The following is a 19,128-nucleotide window of genomic DNA, read 5'->3' on the forward strand; positions in this document are numbered from 1 at the left end:
CAGGTTTTACAGGTGTGACTGTACCGTCGTAGGACGGGAATAACTAGGGCTCACAACCAAGTTTCTCTTAGGTTTTGAAGGTATAAGTGTAAAGTGAAGCATCTCTCGATGATTCTTTCCAAGATAGGTTTAAAAACTATGAATCCATTTTCAGTATTTTCTTCTCTCTGTTTGAAACAGTTTGAGGATGTGTTTCTTTTTCTTGGCTTGATGTTTGGTAGGTCCTTGAATGGGCAAGAGGGCACATGAAGTACGGCGTCCTCCACATTCACGGCCTCTACACGGACCCCTGCGGGGTGGTGCTGGACCCATCGGGGTATAAAGACGTCACTCAAGACGCAGAAGTCATGGTACGGCCCGTCCTAATTAGCATCGGTGCGTCCTCTCAGGGATTACTGGTGGCCACTGGCCATTGGCTGCAGTTGAGTGGCTTCCCAGGCTCCAGGCGTCCGTGCCCTTCAGGTCGGCCCTGCACACAGTTGCTGAGGGAGGGGCCACGTCTCTTGTCCTCGTCTGTGTCTCTGGGGTCCCGCATGGTGCCTCCATGTTGAGTAGATGCTTGGCGAACATTTGTTGGAGGAAGGAATTCATGATTCCTTTCAAAGCAGAGATCTGCCTGTACCCTCTCTAGGAGCCCTGGCCATTTGGTGGTTCTCACCTGCCCAGGTATATAGTGAAACTCCTCAGCATGACATATAGGCCCCGTGCAGTCTAGAATGTTGTCCTTGTTCTTCCAGGCTTCTTCTGGTCTGAAATTCTCTGCTCTCCTTCCTGTAGTTGTAAAGCTTCATTTTTGGCCTGGTATAGTGGCTCATGCCTGTAATCTCAGTGCTTTGGCAGGCCAAGGCAGGAGGATTGCTTGAGTCCAGGAGGGAGAGGCTATGGTGAACTGGGATCGCACCACTGCACTCCAGCCTGGGCAACAGAGCGATACCTCATTTCTAAAAAAATAAATAAATAAAAGTAAATAACACTTCATTCTCTGTGAGGTTTTATTTTTCTTCTTCTTAAATAGACAGGGTCTTGCTCTGTGGCCCAGGCTGAAGTGCAGTGGCATGATCAAAGCTCACTGCTTCCTTGAACTCCTGGGCCCAAGGATCCTCCTGCCTTAGTCTCCCGAGTAGCTGGGACTGCAGGTGTGTGCCCCTACTCCCGGCTGTGAGGTCTTCCTGATGCCCTAGAATGCAGTGTGGAAAAGCTGTGCTTCTGGTAAGCACTGAGAAACTCGGTGTCTGTGGATTTACCCTCAAGCACACAGCTAGGCGCCCTGTTCCTCAGTGCTCATCCCTGGGCCGGTGTCATTCCGTGACAGGTGTCAGCAGATGAGTGACTGGGCAGATGCTTTTCAGTTGCATCATTAATACTGCTTGGTGATAAGAAATACCTGGGCTGAGACTGAGCCTCTCTGAGATATTTGGTTAGCTGCATTGGCGATTCCCTCCTGCCTGCCTGAGTGACCCCATGCAATCTGCTTTCCCTGTGCCCACCCGACCCCGTCAGTCATGGTCACTGATCCCCTCCTCAGCTCTCTTGCCCTCATTCGCAAAACCACCCCTGCAAGAATTCCCACATATGGCCCACTGAGATCAACATTAATTTCAGGGTGTTTTATGTGCATAATTCTGAACTGAAAACATTTACTGTCCTCATTTTGTGTTTTAATAATTTAAAATCGTACCCAATTTGAGAAGATTTGAGTTGGGTGACTGCACTGGTGAGTGTGTGGGGTGGGCGATGGGCTGGCCTTGCTGTTAGGGGTGTGGGCACTGCCACCCGCCTCGGCCAAAGACCAGCTACCCTGGCTTAGCTGGGGACAGGCAGGCTCAGCCCAGCTTTGGTCTTTGCTGCCACAGGCTGCTGCTGGGGGGTGGCCTGAGTGCCATGTCGGGAAGGATACTGTCCTTCTAACTGTGCTCCTCAGCGTGGCCCTGGGAACGCCTGTCAGGGAGCAGTGATGTAAAAGCACACACATGTGACTTGGTTAGTTGTAAGCTCTTGCTGTCTTTCAAATGAGCACTCAATTTCTTCATTGGCCTTTTCTAGGAAGTCCTCCAGAACTTATACCGCACCAAGTCCTTTCTGTTTGTGGGCTGTGGGGAGACCCTTCGTGATCAGATATTCCAGGCCCTCTTTCTTTACTCCGTGCCGAATAAGGTGGATTTGGAGCACTACATGCTTGTGCTGAAGGAGAATGAAGACCATTTCTTTAAGCATCAGGCAGATATGCTTCTGCACGGAATCAAAGTTGTATCCTACGGGGACTGTTTTGACCACTTTCCAGGATATGTGCAAGACCTTGCCACTCAGATCTGCAAACAGCAAAGCCCAGGTATGGGATCTGGCTTCACTTTCCTTTTTCTTTCTTTTTTCTTTTTTTTTTTTGAGACGGAGTTTTGCTCTTGTTGCCCAGGCTGGAGTGCAATGGCACCATCTTGGCTCACCACAACCTCCGCCTCCTAGGTTCAAGGGATTCTGCCTCAGCCTTCCGAGTAGCTGGCATTACAGGCATGCGCCACCATGCCTGGCTAATTTTGTATTTTTAGTAGAGATAGGGTTTCACCATGTTGGTCAGGCTGGTCTCGAACTCCTGACCTCAGGTGACCCACCTGCCTTGGCCTCCTGAAGTGCTGGGATTACAGGCGAGAGCCACCGCGCCCGGCCTGTCTTCACTTTTCAAGTACAAAACTCACAGGGCTCTTCCAGTTGTTTCTCTCTGTCTTTTTTTGATGGAACCCACATACCCCTAAAATTCACCAGTCTTCGTTATTATTTTTTAAAACTGCCTCTGTAATTTAAAATTAGAAGATTGGAGTAATTGGTGTCCTAGTGACAGTCTGTAACTAGAACTTTAAAGTAACTTCAGGCTGGGCACCGTGGCTCACGCCTGTCATCCCAGTTTTTTGGGAGGCCAAGGCAGGAGGATTGCTTGAGCCCAGGAGTTTAAGACCAACCTGGGCAACATAGGGAGACCTGGTCTCTACAAAAATGTTTTTAAAAATTAGCTGGGTTTGGAGCGGGCGCGATAGCTCACGCCTGTAATCCCAGCACTTTGGGAGGCTGAGGTGGGTGGATCACGAGGTCAGGAGATCGAGACCATCCTGGCTAACACGGTGAAACCCCGTCTCTACTAAAAATACAAAAAATTAGCTGGGCATGGTGGCGGGCACCTGTAGTCCCAGCTACTCAGGAGGCTGAGGCAGGAGAATGGCATGAACCCGGGAGGCAGAGCTTGCAGTGAGCCAAGATCGCACCACTGCACTCCAGCCTGGGTGACAGAGCAAGACTCTGTTTCCAAAAAAAAAAAAAAAAAAGAGCTGGGTTTGGTGGTGGACATCTGTGATACCAGCTACTCTGGAGGCTCAGGTGGGGGGATTGCTTGAGCCCAGGAGTTAGAGACTGCAGTAAGCTGTGATCAGGCCACTTATTCCAGTCTGGACGTCGGAGGAAGACCCTGTCTCTAAAAATAAAAAATACAGTAACTTTGAAGTTTACAGCTGTGCACACATGTATAGCTGGACACATTTATTCCTGTTTCAGGTTTCCTTAACCAAGAAGGAAAACTACCAGGCTAGCTTTATCAGTTGTGATACTTAACACTTGAAAGACGCAGATATCTCATATCTGTGTCCTATTACTGCAGTTGAAAAGTTACAACTTCACAAGCACAAAATGATTTCATGAACACTTTACTTCTTTTTTCACGTAATGTATTTTCCCTGTTCTGAATGCAACACCTCTTTTAAGTAGTGCTCCTTGGCACTTTTGAGAAATTGCTCATCTATCAGGAATGACCAGGGTAAGTGAGAAATTCTTAAACTTGGTCATCTTGATATAAGGGAATTAATAGCTGCGAGTTTGGCATCATAAAACATTGATGATGGCAAGCTTGGAAAGGCCTGTGCTGGCTCGTTTAATTGTAACAGGAAACCCAGGCACACTCACCACACACTAGAACGAGGTTAGCCACAGAGGCAGGTATATGTGACCAGCTGTGAACTTGGAGACCAGAGAATGCACAGATAATCCAATCGCTAAAGTTTTTGTTGTTTTTTTAACCACTATCATTTCTTTTCAGAATTGCTAATAATTAGCAAAATGGACCAATGTAAGTTCCATTTCCATAAATAAAAGTATGATTAGGGCAACAGCTTCTTATTAAGGGCAGAAGAAAAGAGCTCCTGCTTGCCATGTGTCACCCTCTGCTCGGAGTTCCATATTCTCACCTGACTTGGTTTTTCATGGCAGCATGCAGTGCTAGTAAGTAGATGATTTCATAGACGAGATGAGCTGAGCTGGCACAGGCACATAACGTGCCCAGACATTTTGAAGCTGGGATTGGGATCCTGGCCTGACTGCAGAGCAAAATACACCATTTGGTGCATCCTGGCACCGGCCCACATGTGTGGCTCTGCAGAGAGGCAGCGGGCTTTTCTCATCTCTGCCCCCGTCCGCCGCTTCTCATTCCACCCCCACACTCCCTGGAAGAACAGGACCCAGAGTAACCCTGCATGTGCTCGGGCTCCTAGAGTGGGGCTGAGCAGCTTTCTGTCCCACTGAGCCTCCCTTTCCAGGTTGGGGCAGGCAAGTGGATTCGACAGGCTGCCAGAAGACTGCAAGGTCATTGGGAGTTTTAATCTGTGACTGTGTCATGAAGGACATTTGTACTCGAATTCATGGAGTGCCACTCCTGATGGGAGAGGAGGCCCATGACAGTGACAGTCATGCTAGTGATCGCGGACACCACACCATGCTGCCTTTGCCAGCTGGCTCCTTCAGCGAGTCCTCGCACCAAGCCTGGGAGGTAGAGGTGAGGGCAGCGAGCAGCGCAGGAGTCCGCAGCCCGCGCGGGCTGACCTGCCCAGAAGCCTGTTCCCAGTCCCTGCCGTTCCCAGTCACTGCCTCAGGGTGGCCGAGGAGGACGAGCTCTTGGTGTCTCGGCTCCACTGACTGCTTTTCTTTCTCCTTCAGATGCTGATCGCGTGGACAGCACCACATTATTGGGTAAAGCAGATCTTTCTTCTTGCCAGCCTGTTTTTTGCCTACACATTCCATTGTCTTCTGTCACTAACTGTAAAATCATAAACGTTTGTTTTTCACCTTAAATAATTAGCTTGTATTAAAACAGCCCCACTGAAGATGATAAATAGCCATGCCTTAGCATGGTCCCTGCCACACCAAGAGACTAAAAGCCATCCCTTTGACGAGGAAGCACAGCCGAATCACACGTGAGCCAGCTGGCACCTGAGAATAATTTCTTGCCCTAGAACCAAGAGTGACGGGACTTGGAACAGGTTCTATTTGTGTGATACCATGTGGTGCCAGATGCAGTGCCTTAGAATGACCCAGCTCTTCCGAAATGTTCGTTGCACGGGTCTGAGCTTGCACACAGAAGCTTCCTATTTAATACTTGTTTTGAAATGTGAACGCTCTTCTTGCTGGGCTCAATTCTGCCTGTTTATAAATTTAATGAGACTCGGTGGCCATGAGCGTCCTCCTGTGTGTGCGCTGGGCACCAGGTGCCTCCCCTTGCCGAATCATTTGGGTAAAAGGGACTCTGGTGAGTGGCGCGGAGGCCTCTGTGCGCAGCCCTGTTTTCCCTGGCTGTTTGGCCCAGCGCGTTCACAGATGGGAAAACGCGCATCGATGTGGGAGCTGCTCGCCTCACATCCATGTTAGTGGTGCAGGAAGTATGAAACCGCCGCAGTCGGCTCCCCGTTGCCACCTATTCCCATGCGAAAGGACATCTTCATTACACTTGCTTTCTCACTGAAATGCGACTCCTGGAAGCATGGCTCTCTTTGGAGAGAAGCCGTAGCGTGGTTGATGTCATCTCTAGTGGATGGCAGGGTCTGCTTGGCCAGTGCTTCAGTAAGGTCACATTATGAACTGTGCCTTGGCGAGTGGATTCTGAATAAACAAGCTTCTTAATAAATTCTTCTCTTTTAGGTAATGCATGCCAGGACTGTGCAAAGAGGAAGTTAGAAGAGAATGGAATTGAAGTTTCAAAAAAACGCACACAATCAGATACTGGTATTGTGTCTGTTCTTTTTGTGGGGAGCTGCCTCGGGTCTCTCTTGTTGGCAGGCATCTTCAGGGACCGTGCTGCGCTTTAATGCCCCGCGCCCTATGGTGGGAGGACGGTGCATACGTTCTGTCAGGGCCAGAGAGCACAGGAGGCTTACTTAGCAGAGACCCTGACCTCTCACCCCAACCCGATTCCAACTGCCCAGAGCTACTGGTACCTCTTTAGAAAAATGTTACGGAGAAAACATACACTAAGAAGGTGCAGCGGGCAGAAGGTGCTCTCTCCAAAAAGAAAAGTTAAAAAGATGAATAAAAAGTGCACAAGTTACATAAGGTCAGCTCCGCATTTTTGCGAAGTGAACGCTCCCATCTAATCACACGCAGTTGAGGAAGCAGCATTGCCAGGACACCCCTTGTCACTGTCCAGCCTCCTCCAGCCCCCAAGGGTGACCACTAGCCTGATGCATGTCACCTGAGTCTCTGGAGAAAAGCACTTTAACTCATTTGAGCTTTGTTGCCTCTGTTACAGACTAAGATTTATTTAAGTGATTGAACTATTTATCTAAACAGTGTATTTGAATAGGCCTCTCTGTTGACGCTATGAAGGGCGATCTCGCTTGTTCGTGCCGGTCCCTCCCTCTCCTCCCCTCCTCCTCCTCCCAGGTTTGCGTAGTGCTGTGTGTTATTTCTCATTCTTTAAATAACATACTTAAGCCAGACTTCCCCACACGAAGCCTGGGCTGGATGGGCCCCCACATGCGTATCCCACCCCCTAGCCCGCTGGCTTCCCCGTTTTGTCGGTCTCCGTGGTGACAGGACAGAAAGGAAACGAGACCCCCAGTCTGTCTGTAGGTTGATTGTAAAAGTTGGCAAACAAAAGCATTTCCGTGATGAAAACAGCGTCAGTGTTCTTTCCTGCTTAGCCAGCATGTGTGTTGTGTCTGTGGGCCCAGTGCCACGCCGCCTGTGCCAGCTGCGGATGTGTCCTCAATGTCAGGGTCAAATGTGGCTTGTTCTTATATTCCATTCTCCCATTTTTTATTGTTTAATATTGGGGCTTGAAGACATTTGTGTTACTTCTTACTTTTTGAGGAGTTTTTAGGTTCTTCTTTCCCCTTTGTGTTCCAAAAACTAACGTTTCCCAATATTCTTAAATGTATGCACTCCCTCAGCTTTCAGAACTGAATAAGAAATTTTTTTTTAAAAAAAGTATGCATTCTCTTCATCCTGCCACCCCACATCTCCCAGGACACCTTCTCCTGGTCGGCTCCGCTGGGGACTGCTACCTCCTGAGCTCCCCTCCTTCTCTCTGAGATGGAGGCCTAGGTCTCCCTTGCTCTGGCCCCCCATCCATCCTGCTAGTACCTCCTGAGGCCGCTTCTGCAGACCCCAGTGTGGGGTCGCCTCCTGAGGGCCATGTGTCTGCAGGTGTCTGTGCCATCCTCATGCTCGCGGGAGTTTTGGCATGGGATTCTCCGTTGTGATTCCCCCGGACTCCACTGTCTGAAGACCAGGTTTCCTATGAAGAGGGTCTGATGGGAACCTGTTCCCAGTGATTTGAAGGTACCCGTTGCTTTTTTTCCTGGGAGTTTTTAGGATCCTCTTTTCCCTTGATTAGAAATTCAATGAGGATGTATTTAGGTGGAAAACTTTTTTACCTGCCTTACTCACATGTTCTTTTTCCTCTTCCATTTCTCCAGTTCTGGAATGGTCTGTGATTCTCTTTATTTCTTCTTTCCATCTTCTCTGTTCTCCCTTTCTGGAAGTCATACTAGTTGGGATTGCCTGGATTGATTTCCACCGTCTTTTAAGTTTTCTCTGATGTCTTTTTTTTTATTTTTTGAGACAGAGTCTTGCTCTGTTGCCCAGGCTGGAGTGCAGTGGCGCGATCTCGGCTCACCACAACCTCCGCTTCTTGGATTCAAGCTGTTTTCCTGCCTCAGCCTCCTGAGCAGCTGGGACTACAGTCGCACACCACCATGCCCGACTAATTTTGTACTTTTAGTAGAGATGGGGTTTCACTATGTTGGCCAGGCTGGTCTCAAACTCCTGACCTTGTGATCCACCCACTTTGGCTTCCCAAACTGCTGGGATTATAGGCGTGAGCCACTGCGCCCGGCCAAGCTCTTGTTTTCTTAGTTACCTTTTCTCAGAGCATCTGCTGTTGTAAGTCTGCGAGAACTCTGGAGACAGAAGTCAACCTGGTTATCTGACTCTACTACATTCCTGAAAACATTGAGAGAGGATTTTCATATAATAGGAGTTTATATTTAGTACTTTATATAAGTAAGCCAAAGTAAAACACTCTTAAATACCTATATAGCAGTCCACCCAAAATTTCTGAGAGCTACGAAGCATCCAGCTTATCAGTTACCTCTTCATTTAACATTTAAATCCTTCAGTGGGTATGCTGGAGCAGTATCATGTCCCTGCACGTTCCTTCAACACCACAGGGACCATGTGCAATAGTCCATGTTATAAAGATTCTTAGTGAGTGCAAATTTAGTCAAGTAAAATAAGGCAGTTCTAAAAGGGCCACCTGCAGAGTGAATTATAGCACAAGCGAGGGCTGGTGGCAGGGGGTGGGGGCGCCCTAGCGTCCTGCCGTCCAGGGGCAGGGAAGATGAGAGTGAGCTGATGTGGCAGTCCTTGTGGGAGAGCTGTGAGGGGCAGCTGTCACAGACTCGACATCCTCTCATTTAGTTTTATACAACTTTGGCTGGGCTTAGTGGTTCACGCCTATATTACCAGCACTTTGGGAGGCTGAGGCAGGTGAATCACCTGAGGCCAGGTCAGCCTGGCCAACATGGCGAAACCCCGTCTCTACTAAAAATACAAAAATTAACTGGGTGTGGTGGCGGGCGCCTACTGTAGTCCCAGCTACTCAGGAGGCTGAGGCAGGAGAATTGCTTGAACCCAGGAGGCGGAGGTTGCAGTGAGCCGAGATCACACCATTGTACTCCAGCCTGGGCGACAGAGCAAGACTCCGTTTCAAAAAAGATAAAATAATAATAATAGTTTTATACAACTTCAAATGCACTTGGGGGCACACATGTTTTAGAGAATTCGATTTTGATATTGTTTTGGATCAAACTGTTTGAAATCTTTTTGCAAATATTTGGATTGTGAGTTCAGCTAGTAGAACCATCATATAAGTAAAAACAAAACACAAAACTGGTGTTCTGTGAACTGTTTCCTCCGGGGTAGGTGGTTCTTTTCCACTACTTTCTTTCACGTTCATTGTTTTGTTTTCTGCATATCTGGGCTCCTCCAGTGCCTGCTGACAAGAACGAAGGCCCGGGCGATTATTCTCAATAGATTGGCTTTCTTCTGCTGTTGCTGCTGTTGTGTGTACATAGATTTTGTCCCCCCGTGGCCTACCTCTGACTGGTGTGCACATCGCGGGTAGGGCCTACTGCCTGGTAGACCTTGCTGTGGAGCATTGGGCAGGGGTTTTCTTCAATACCTGTGAGATCTGTGCTCCTAGACGCCATCACCTGCACCTGCAGCCCCGGCTCTCCCCACCCAGTCATGTCTCCTTAGGGCGAAGCTCCTGGCCTCTGTTGTACAGAAAGCCCTGGCCTGTCCTGCATGTGGGTGAGAGAAGCCAAGCCTGGGGATCCCAGAGGAATCGACAGGCTTATTCTTCTCCATACCTCCAACAGGCTCTCACTGTATGTTTGTTGAAATTGCCCCATCCTCAGTCCACTAAGAAATAAAAGAGCATCCATGTTCATGGATTGAGATTCCCACAGATCGTTGCAAATGTAATGTCATCATTTGCTTGATCCCCTGATAGTACTGATAATTACACAAGGTCATTTCCAGACAGTGGCTACTGTTTCCATTGTGGAGGGGTTTTCAAAGTCTTCCGTACATAAGAACAATTGTAAAGCAGTTTCTGAAATAGAAATCTATTGCAAATAACTTCTTTTAGCTGGACTTTAACCCTTGGGCATTTCATTCTTTTATTTAAACAGATGATGCTGGAGGGTCTTGAAATCTTTACAGTAAAACCTGCAACTTGAAAACTAGCCTTCTGTAACCACAGTGCCCAAACGAAGAGGAATGTATGGAGAACTCCACGTGGATCTCTGATTGCGAAACCGTCACATACACCAAGAGAGCCACATGGGCATGTGGCCCTCAAGGCTGGGTGAGAGGGCTCCCCTGTGTGTTGAACTATGCAGGAGGGTGACGCGGACACATTTCAGGTGGACTTTGCAAGGACTGATGGATAGCTACCTCAGGGACCAGAATCCGTGGGAAGGGATGGACCTGGTGTTCCCGTTCCCATCTGACAGGCTCTCTTTTGTCAAGGTGGTATTTTTCGTAATAAAAGGGGAAGAGTAAAGACTGTCCAAGCAACAGTAGCTGCCAAAGAGAAAATACGAAATAGACACTTTTTTTTTTTGAGTCAGAGTCTCACTCTGTCACCCAGGACAGAGTGCAGTGGTACGATCTCAAGCTCACTGCAGCCACCACCGCCTGGGCTCAAGTGATTCTCCTGCCTCAGCCTCCCGAGTAGCTGGGATTACAGGCGTCCACCACCATGCCCAGCTAATTTTTTTATTTTTAGTAGAGTTGGAGTTTCACCATGTTGGCCAGGATGGTCTCGAACTCTTGACCTCAGGTGATCCACCCGCCTTGGCCTCCCAAAGTGCTAGGATTACAGGCATGAGCCACTGCGCCCAGCAAAATAAACACATTTTATAATTTGTATGTGGAAACATGTTACTATAGAAAGCATTTTAAAGGTACGTTTTAAAGGTCCACTGTTAAATAGTAAAGAATGAATCCGCTAGCGAAAATGTTTTTAGGGAGAACAGCTGGATCAAAAGGGCTTCTTTGGAATTAGGTTGTTTTAGTAACTTCTGTTCCAAAGAAACACAGGTCTGATATTGCTAAGAACTGAAATCGGAGGAGCCAGAGGCCCTTTTCAGTCCAGGCCAACATTGTGCACGGCCACTGTGGGACTGACAACCGGGATAGCTCAAGTTCGAGAGACCAGGTTTCAAACATTATAAGTTCCAGGCTTTGCAAGTCTTTATTCTCTGGGGTAATATCCAGTCTTTCTGTTATTGTCTCTTAAAATTCTCTTCCATGGCCCACATTAAGGGAGTTTGCAGAGAGTGAGGGAGGCAAAACTTGAAAAGGGCCTGCAACACTTTAAACCTTCTCAGGTTCACCCACATGAAACGGCTGTGCTGAGTGTGCTGCCGGTGCCCGGGGAGCTTCTCTGACTGTGACCCGGCAGAGGCTTCTGTGGCGGTGCATGAGCGGCCCTACAGTGGAGGGTTCTCTTTGGAAACAAACAGCCCTGCTTGGTTTCAGTTTGAGGCCACTTATCTTCAATGTGACATTTCTTGCCAAGCCCTGTGACACTCCCCATTGATGACTCCCATAGGTACAGATAAAGTTAAGAACAGGAAACAGAAGGGTAGGATGCATAGGGAGGGAGAGAAGCCCTGAAAACTTTTTTTTTCTTTTTGAAGCATGGAAAACAAATCTTTTATGCCACTCCAGCCATAAATAAAATTTTAACTTCAACCCTGTGTGCTCAGTGTTTCTTTAGTTATGCCAAGGCTTGCTAGAATGTTATTTAGTGAGAATTTTTAGCTTGAGTTGCCACCCAACTGTGAAATCAACTAAATGATTACTTGAATGTATTTAAATGTTTTAAAAAGCAAACATTATAAATTTTTCTTTAATGTCATTTAGTAAGTGCAGTCAGGGAATATCTGAATCTAAGAGCTGGCCAGACACAGGGTATAGCAGAATTACAAGCATAGAGGATGCTATGCAGTAGGATGTAAAGCTCATTACAGCCCATTTTTAAGAAAAGCTTTGTGTGCTCTGCTGGAGGACACAGCCATGTTGCTGCACCACATGGATGTATCTAGTCAGTTCTGTTGTATGCTCGTTGTAGAATGTAAAGTTTATTCCAATCCGATTGATAGATTAAAGGCAATTCCAGCATAGTGCACTTGCTTGTGTATAGTTTAGTCCGTGAGAAACATCACATCAGGAGGTAACAAAGTTGGCCCTGCTGTTTACTGCCTCAAGCTAGAGTAGCTATTACATTTTAAAATGGTTATATTTTAAGACAGGGCAGGTAGCTCAAACCTGTAATCCCAGCACTTTGGGAGGCTGAGGGGGGCGGATCACTTGAGGCCAGGAGTTTGAGACCAGCCTGGCCAACATGGTGAAACCCTGTCTCTACTAAAAATACAAAAATTAGCCTGGCGTGGTGGCGTGTGCCTGTAATCCCAGCTACTTGGGAGACTGAGGCAGGAGAATCACTTGAACCAAGGAGGCAGAGGTTGCAGTGAACCAAGATTGCACCACTGCACTCCAGCCTGGGCGACAGAGGGAATTCCATCTAAAAAAAAATAAAAATAAAATGGTTACATTTTAAATAGTTATACAAGTACCTGCTAAGAACCTCCTTACTATCTCAACAAAGCCTGAATATGTGCTGTGGCCCTTAAATTAGGTTACTGGGCATGCTCTGTTATATCAGAAATGACTGAACTTGGTGGGATCACTGACAGTCTATAAGTCAAAGTTATGAAAGAGAACAGCCAAGCGCGGTGGCTCACGCCTGTAATCCCAGCACTTTGAGAGGCTGAGACGGGTGGATCACTTAAGGCCAGGAGTTCGAGACCAGCCTGGCCAATGTAGTGAAACCCTGTCTCTACTAAAAATACAAAAATCAGCGGGGCACGGTGGCAGATGCCTATAGTCCCAGATACCTGGGAGGCTGAGGCAGGAGAATCGCTTGAACCCAGGAGGTGGAGGTTGCAGTGAGCAGAGATCGCGCCACCGCACTGCAGCCTGGGCAACAGAACGAGACTACGTGTCAAAAAAAGAAAAAGGAGGACAAATAGAGTGGCTTCTGCTGTCTGCAGTTCATAGAGGTCAGCTATCTCACCGTACCGGAAGTCCCTTCCAGGAAGGAACCAAATCTTTTTGAGATTTAATTTCTTCCTCACAGAGTGCATTCTGTTATTACATGAAACAGTGTTGTTAAAATGGATACATTTACTCAGGAGGCTACTCCTTGGTTAGCACTTGGGCCCAAAGCAGTCTGAAGTGGAAGCCCACCTCAGAATTTTCTTGTCCCTTTTTTTTTTTTTTTTTTTTTTTTTGTTGAGACAGTCTTTGTCACCCAGGCTGGAGCACAGTGGCGCAATTTCAGCTCACTGCAACCTCCACCTCCTGGGTTCAAGCGATTCTCCTGCCTCAGCCTCCTGAGTAGTTGGGATTACAGGTGCACCCCATCACACCTGGCTAATTTTTATATTTTTAGTAGAGACAGGGTTTCACCACATTGGCCAGGCTGGTCTCGAACTCCTGAGCTCAAGTGATCCACCCGCCTCAGCCTCCCGAAGTGCTGGGATTACCAGCGTGTGAGCTGCCGCTCCAGGCCTGTCTTGTTCCATTTTGAAGTGGAAATGAAGTGGTGAAAGTGCAGCTTTCTGCACATAATAACGTTTGTAAGTGGAGAAGTCAGTTGTCACTTGAGAAACTCTGTATTCTTCAATATTTCCGTAACAGAGATTCTATTTATAAAAATTCAGATTGCATTGAAACAGACATAATTCAATTTCACCATTAAAATATTTTTGGCTTCTAAAATTCTACATTGGAGACATTTGAAATTAGAACATTTTTTATTGATATTTTCAATACTAACATAGTTTCTCTGAAACAATTTCCCAAAAGCCAGGTTCAACAGTTTATTAACAATCTTATAACTAGTATGTTTAAAAACCAAGAGAAGTTCCCTTCAAGATTACTTGGGTGCAAGGCAAGATCAGAGTGAAGATGAAGCTGAATTCAAAATTTTTCCAACCAAACTAGCTTATTTCAAAATAGAAGTTAGAATTATAGTACAAAATTGTACCTTTTGTTTGTTTTTTAAAAACTCATTTGACACCAGCTCTCACTGAAAACTTTCCCTACTAGAATGAGGTCTGAACACTCAACTAAAGTGAGCCACAGCCTCTTTGGCTAGAACGACTAAGGTTTCTCTTAAAGGGTGCACCAGGCTGGTCCTGCTTGCTCCAGAAGTCTCCTGTGGAGGAGCTGTGTGAGTATTAGAGTGGGAACTGAACAGTGATCAGGTGACTGCTGCAGGACTGCCCCTAGCGGGACTCTCCGTGTCTCTTGCTGCTTTCTTGGCCTTCAGTGTCTGGATACTGAGAAAGATCTAGGGTCAAAACTCGGCTGAACATGCAGTCATCGTACTAAAATGGAGAGAAGACAGTTAAAAGTTCCCCTAATTAGGGAAAAAGTATTATTAAAGTAAGAGCCATTAGTGAGTCTAGAATTGCATTCAAAAGGAATCTTCTTCAACCTAGTAAGATATCTGCATTTATATTGGTTGTGGGTTTTTTTGGTATTATCTGGTATGAGAATTTCCATTACTCATGCATTATATTTCCAGGTGGTCCCCTAACATTCTGTAGGCACAGGAAGGTAAATTTTTATCTTTGCTTAAAGGAAAATTCAGGAAGTAAATCCTAACTGTCCAAAACCAAATGACCTGAACTAGTGGCTCTACTTCATGAGTTCAGGTTAGTATTTTCAATGGCTTGAGAAAGGTGTGTTCACATTTTAGAAGTTACTATACAACTTGGAACTTCTAATGTATTTCTTTGTTTTGTCCTCTGATACTTTTGGAGGATAAATGGTTCCTTGCTCTACCACAGTGCATTTGTTTTTGCTTAAAACACTGAAACACTGCAGAAATAAGAAGTATAATGTTAACAGTTCGTGTAAATTAACATGGACTTATTTCACGAAACAAAACTATCCTACTTACTGTTCTGCAATTTTCCATTTGCTTTTTTCACTTAAAATATATCTTCAATCTCTATGTATTGTCTAGGAAAGCACCAGTAGTTATTTTTAATCTTATTTGATTAAAAAGTCATTTCAGCATTAGACTCCATTTGGAAGTTTTAATTAGGAAAGCCCAGTGGCTGTCAGGGTACTAAGGGAAGTTGGCATTGGGTACACTCCTCTCGCCTCTGATTTGTCTTTACCTCAGGATAGATGCCGATCAGCGCGTCGGCTCTGGAATAGAACTCTTCTTTTAGGGAGATGACTATCATCTGAAACTGGTCTTGAGTTTGCTCTTTGATGTAACTTGACACCTGGAAGAAATAAAAACACACATTTCACTAGGAAGGAAAGGCCTTGTCTGGGCTCTGGAGACAGTAATTCTGCATGTCTCTGAGTCTGGTCAGTTTAGGTGACAAGGACTTATCCACCTTTCCAATAATTCAATAAATCCTCAACAACTGCAGAAATGGAAATAGATTCTAAAATGAGATAAACTTCATTAAACCTATGATCTAAAACTTTAAGAATATTTTAAAGAATAAAGCTCCAACTTAAGATACTGTGATGTGAATAGGTAACCAGCCTTTATAACAAGAAAAAAACTACCACTCAGAGTATTTTTTGAGGGTGAAAAAGGGCTGGTATTTAAACGTATAACCTCCAGGCTGGGCGCAGTGGCTCACACCTGTAACCCCAGCACTTTGGGAGGCTGAGGCAGGCGGATCACCAGAGGTCAGGAGTTCAAAACCAGCCTGGCCAACATGGTGAACCCCGTCTCTACTAAAATTACAAAAAAATTAGGCAGGCATGGTGGCAGGTGCCTATAATCCCAGCTACTCGGGAGGCTGAGGCAGGAAAATCGCTTGAACCCGGGAGGTAGAGGTTGCAGTGAGCCGAGATTGTGCCACTGCACTCCAGGCTGGGCGACAGAGTGAAAGACTCCATCTAACAACAAGAAGAGCAAAAATCCAAAATAATTTCCACCTTCCTATTTTGCCAACTCAGCCTGAAAGGAAAAACAGGGCAATTATATATGTATTCGTAATCCATAATCAAGTCATTTGGTTAGAGGTGAACTCTGGTTCCCTAAGGAAGCTCAATTCCAAGGAAATGAGAAGTGCAAAATGGACTCAATAGAGATGAGTCTTGGTGAACAAACCACTCAGAACTTGGACGGTGATAAACCCCAAGAAGAGAAAAACTACCAACAGTCTAACAAAGGTAATACCAACTCCTGGATTTCTCTGAGGGCCTAGAATGGGTCTTCTCCATGTGCACCAAAGATCCTGTGGACACAAGCTCTGGAAGTAGGAATGGTAGCTTCCATTGAGGAATGAGTGGCCATGTTTTACGTGAGAAAGGAAAGAAACTGCTCTAAGAGGCTGAATTCATAGAAGGAACTTCCAGCATTAGAGGCAATGGTAGTAGCCACTATGACAGGGCTGAAAAAAGGTCTTGGGCCCATAATAGGAAAAGAAGGGGAGATAGGATGCGAAGATGCAGGGCATGCGTTTTTCCTGGAGAGTTACCTGTTGGGCACCCTGATCACAAGAGGGAGTGGAGGGTGCTTCATAGTTCTTCATACTACATAACTGCTCATACTCAATTCAGCAACGGAGTATCAGAAAAATACATCTCAAAAGGGATAATGCAATTAAGAGCTTTTAATACATAGGATGGGTACTAGTAGGAGTCTGAAGTAAGACCTAGTACCTGGAGATGCCACCAATGCAAACATCTAATTTTTCCTCAAACAAATACCTTCAATACAGCCAAGAAAAAGACAGCCACCAAGATTTCCCCTCACAGAATGTGGGATATAAAGTGCCAAAATTCTCCTCCTAAGGGGAGATTTCTCCCAGATGAGTCTGCCATGGAGTCCAGTCATTTGATGCATGCTGGCTGGCATTCAGGAGACAACTCAAGATGCTCTTCTTTCCTGTTTCCTTCCCAGCTACCATGTCCTGTTTCCTCCCCAGCTACCATGTCCTGTTTCCTTTCCCAGCTGCCATGAAGCTTCTGGCAGAGACTTTTTGGGGGTATGGAGTTGATGTGATACTCTTGTGTATCCCTGGGCCATGTTAAAAATGCAGGGCCTTCAAGAGATTTTCTCAGATGAATACAATTTGAGAAATGCTCAAAGACTACATTCATGCCATCAGAAGGTACCTCAGGTTGCAGCTACCCAGGCAATTCACATGAGACTCAACAGAGTAAGCAATCAAGGAGGTCAGCTTCAGAGGTGCAGAACCTACTGGGTGGTACCCCGAGACTGAAAACATCTCTCAGCCACGGGCTCCTTAACATCACTCACAAGACTAGGTTATAAACCAGAATGCCAATTTATTTCTTTTTTTCTTTTTAAATTTATTTATAATAGAGACAAGGTCTCACTATGTTGCTCAGGCTGGTCTCGAAGTCCTGAGCTCAAGTGATCCTCCCGCCTCAGCTTCTCAAAGTGTTGGAATTACAGGCATGAGCCATCACGCCTGGCCCAGAATGCCAATTTATAAGTAAATGATGAGAAATACATCTCTCAACATGACCAGAGCAGCCACCCTGTAAGCAGCCGTTAATGCAAAGCCTGGTCATTTCTAGAAGATGGATGGGCCTGGAATCAGAACCAGGAGAACCTAATTCACCCATCTCCAAGAATGAATGGCCCCAGTAGCAGAACCATGGTACTGGGAACTCTGCAGGCCGGTGCTGCCCTTCCCCTGGGCAGTGTCGGGCACTGCCAGGATTTGCCTCCATCCTTTGTTCATGTTCCATAGCAGACCCCACTCTCATGTCCAAAATTCAATCTAGTCACTGTCAATTTGTTTGGGCTGAGAGCCCAGCTCTTTTAGGTGGGCTCTGAGTATCTACCCACTGATCCTTGAGTACTGACTAAAATTCAACTCCTAAGTGTGAAACTGTTCCTTAGTTCTCTCATTCTCTCAAAGACTGAAAACAGGATCATGCTCAAGTACAGTAAATTATTGGATACATTTTGATAGAACTGGGAAGTAGGGCTGGTGTGGTGGCTGACGCCTGTAATCCCAGCACTTTGGGAGGTTGAAGCGGGTAGATCTCTTGAGCCCAAGAGTTTGAGACCAGCCTTGGTAACATGGTGAAACCCCATCTCTACCAAAAACACAAAAATTAGCCAGTCTCATAACCTGGTCTCAAATAAATAAATAGATATAAAAACTGGGAAGGTAGGATTTTAAACTTTAATTCTTTTGGAATTTAGAGATGGTACTCTTGGGGCCTGTTATTAGGGGTTCTCTAATTCCCAATATCTAGATTTGGTGAGAAACCTGTTATGCCAGCAGTAACATTGTTGATCAAGTACAGTGATCCTCATTTGACCCCCATGTTGATTTCTCATCAACTCTGGAAGGTCCTCTAAGCCTTGAATGAAGACTACCCTGAATCAACTTGTTTTAGATATTTAGCTTAGATTTCAAAAGGACTGTTTTTTTTGTTTTGTTTTGTTTTTTCCTGGAGTGCAGTGGCACGGTCTCGGCTCACTGCAATCTCTGTCTCTCAGGCTCAGGTGATCCTCCCACCTCAGCCTCTTGAGTAGCTGGGACCACAGATGTGTGCCACCATGCTCAGATAATTATTTTTTTAAATTTTTTGTAGGGACAAGGTCTCCTTATGTTGCCCAGGCTGGTCTCAAACTCTTGGACTCAAGCAATCCACCCGCCTCAGCCTCCCGAAGTGCTGAGATTACAGGCATGAGCCACCAAGCCCAGCCTACAAGGACTGATTTTTTTTTTTTTTTTTTTTTGAGACAGAGTCTCTGTCGCTCAGGCTGGAGTGCAGTGGCACAAACTCAGCTCACTGCAAACTCCACCTCCTGGGTTCAGCCGATTGTCATGCCTCAGCCTCCCAAGTAGCTGGGATTACAGGCACCCACCACCACGCCTAGCTAATTTTTGTATTTTTAGTAGAGACCAGGTTTCACCATGTTGACCAGGCTGGTCTCGAACTCCTGACCTCAAGTAATCCACCTGCCTCAGCCTCCCAAAGTGCTGGGATTACAGGCGTGAGCCACGGGTGCCTGGCCAAGGACTGAATTTTTTGTTTTGTTTTGTTTTGTTTTTTTGAGACAGAGTCTCACTCTGTCGCTTAGGCTGGAGTGCAGTGGTGCAATCTCGGCTCACTGCAACCTTCACCTCCCGGGTTCAAGTGATTCTCCTGCCTCAGCTCCTGAGTAGCTGGGATTACAGGCGCACACCACCACACCTGGCTAATTTTTGT

General features: G+C 46.2%; 2 protein-coding genes across 20 annotated transcripts in view; one reads left to right on the top strand and one right to left on the bottom strand.

The window, feature by feature from the left end:
- The window catches only part of FAM118A (family with sequence similarity 118 member A), a 32,996-nt gene extending 21,422 nt beyond the window's left edge, over positions 1–11,574 (top strand). For 9 of the 15 annotated variants that reach the window (NM_001104595.2, NM_001349916.2, NM_001349914.2 and 6 more), the window contains 5 exons: positions 222–350; positions 2,044–2,329; positions 4,969–5,001; positions 5,947–6,030; positions 10,005–11,574. In NM_001104595.2, coding sequence (NP_001098065.1) covers positions 222–350; positions 2,044–2,329; positions 4,969–5,001; positions 5,947–6,030; positions 10,005–10,024 — 552 coding nt within the window. In that variant the 3' untranslated portion in view covers positions 10,025–11,574. Of the gene's footprint in view, positions 1–221; positions 376–2,043; positions 2,330–4,571; positions 4,808–4,968; positions 5,002–5,946; positions 6,031–7,452; positions 7,588–9,298; positions 9,779–10,004 lie in introns of those variants that run through there. The other 6 variants (XR_007067975.1, XR_007067976.1, NR_146323.1 and 3 more) reach the window with 6 other exon arrangements.
- A 2,107-nt stretch (positions 11,575–13,681) lies between these two features.
- SMC1B (structural maintenance of chromosomes 1B) overlaps positions 13,682–19,128 on the bottom strand; it is a 69,537-nt gene continuing 64,090 nt past the window's right edge. For 3 of the 5 annotated variants that reach the window (NM_001291501.2, NM_148674.5, XM_011530144.3), the window contains 2 exons: positions 15,078–15,188; positions 13,682–14,276 (listed from right to left, as the gene is read on the bottom strand). In NM_001291501.2, the coding sequence (NP_001278430.1) occupies positions 14,175–14,276; positions 15,078–15,188 (213 nt within the window). In that variant the 3' untranslated portion in view covers positions 13,682–14,174. Of the gene's footprint in view, positions 14,277–15,077; positions 15,189–19,128 lie in introns of those variants that run through there. The other 2 variants (XM_011530145.3, XM_047441333.1) reach the window with 2 other exon arrangements.

Source organism: Homo sapiens, chromosome 22, assembly GCF_000001405.40.
Source record: "Homo sapiens chromosome 22, GRCh38.p14 Primary Assembly".
NCBI lineage: Eukaryota > Metazoa > Chordata > Mammalia > Primates > Hominidae > Homo > Homo sapiens.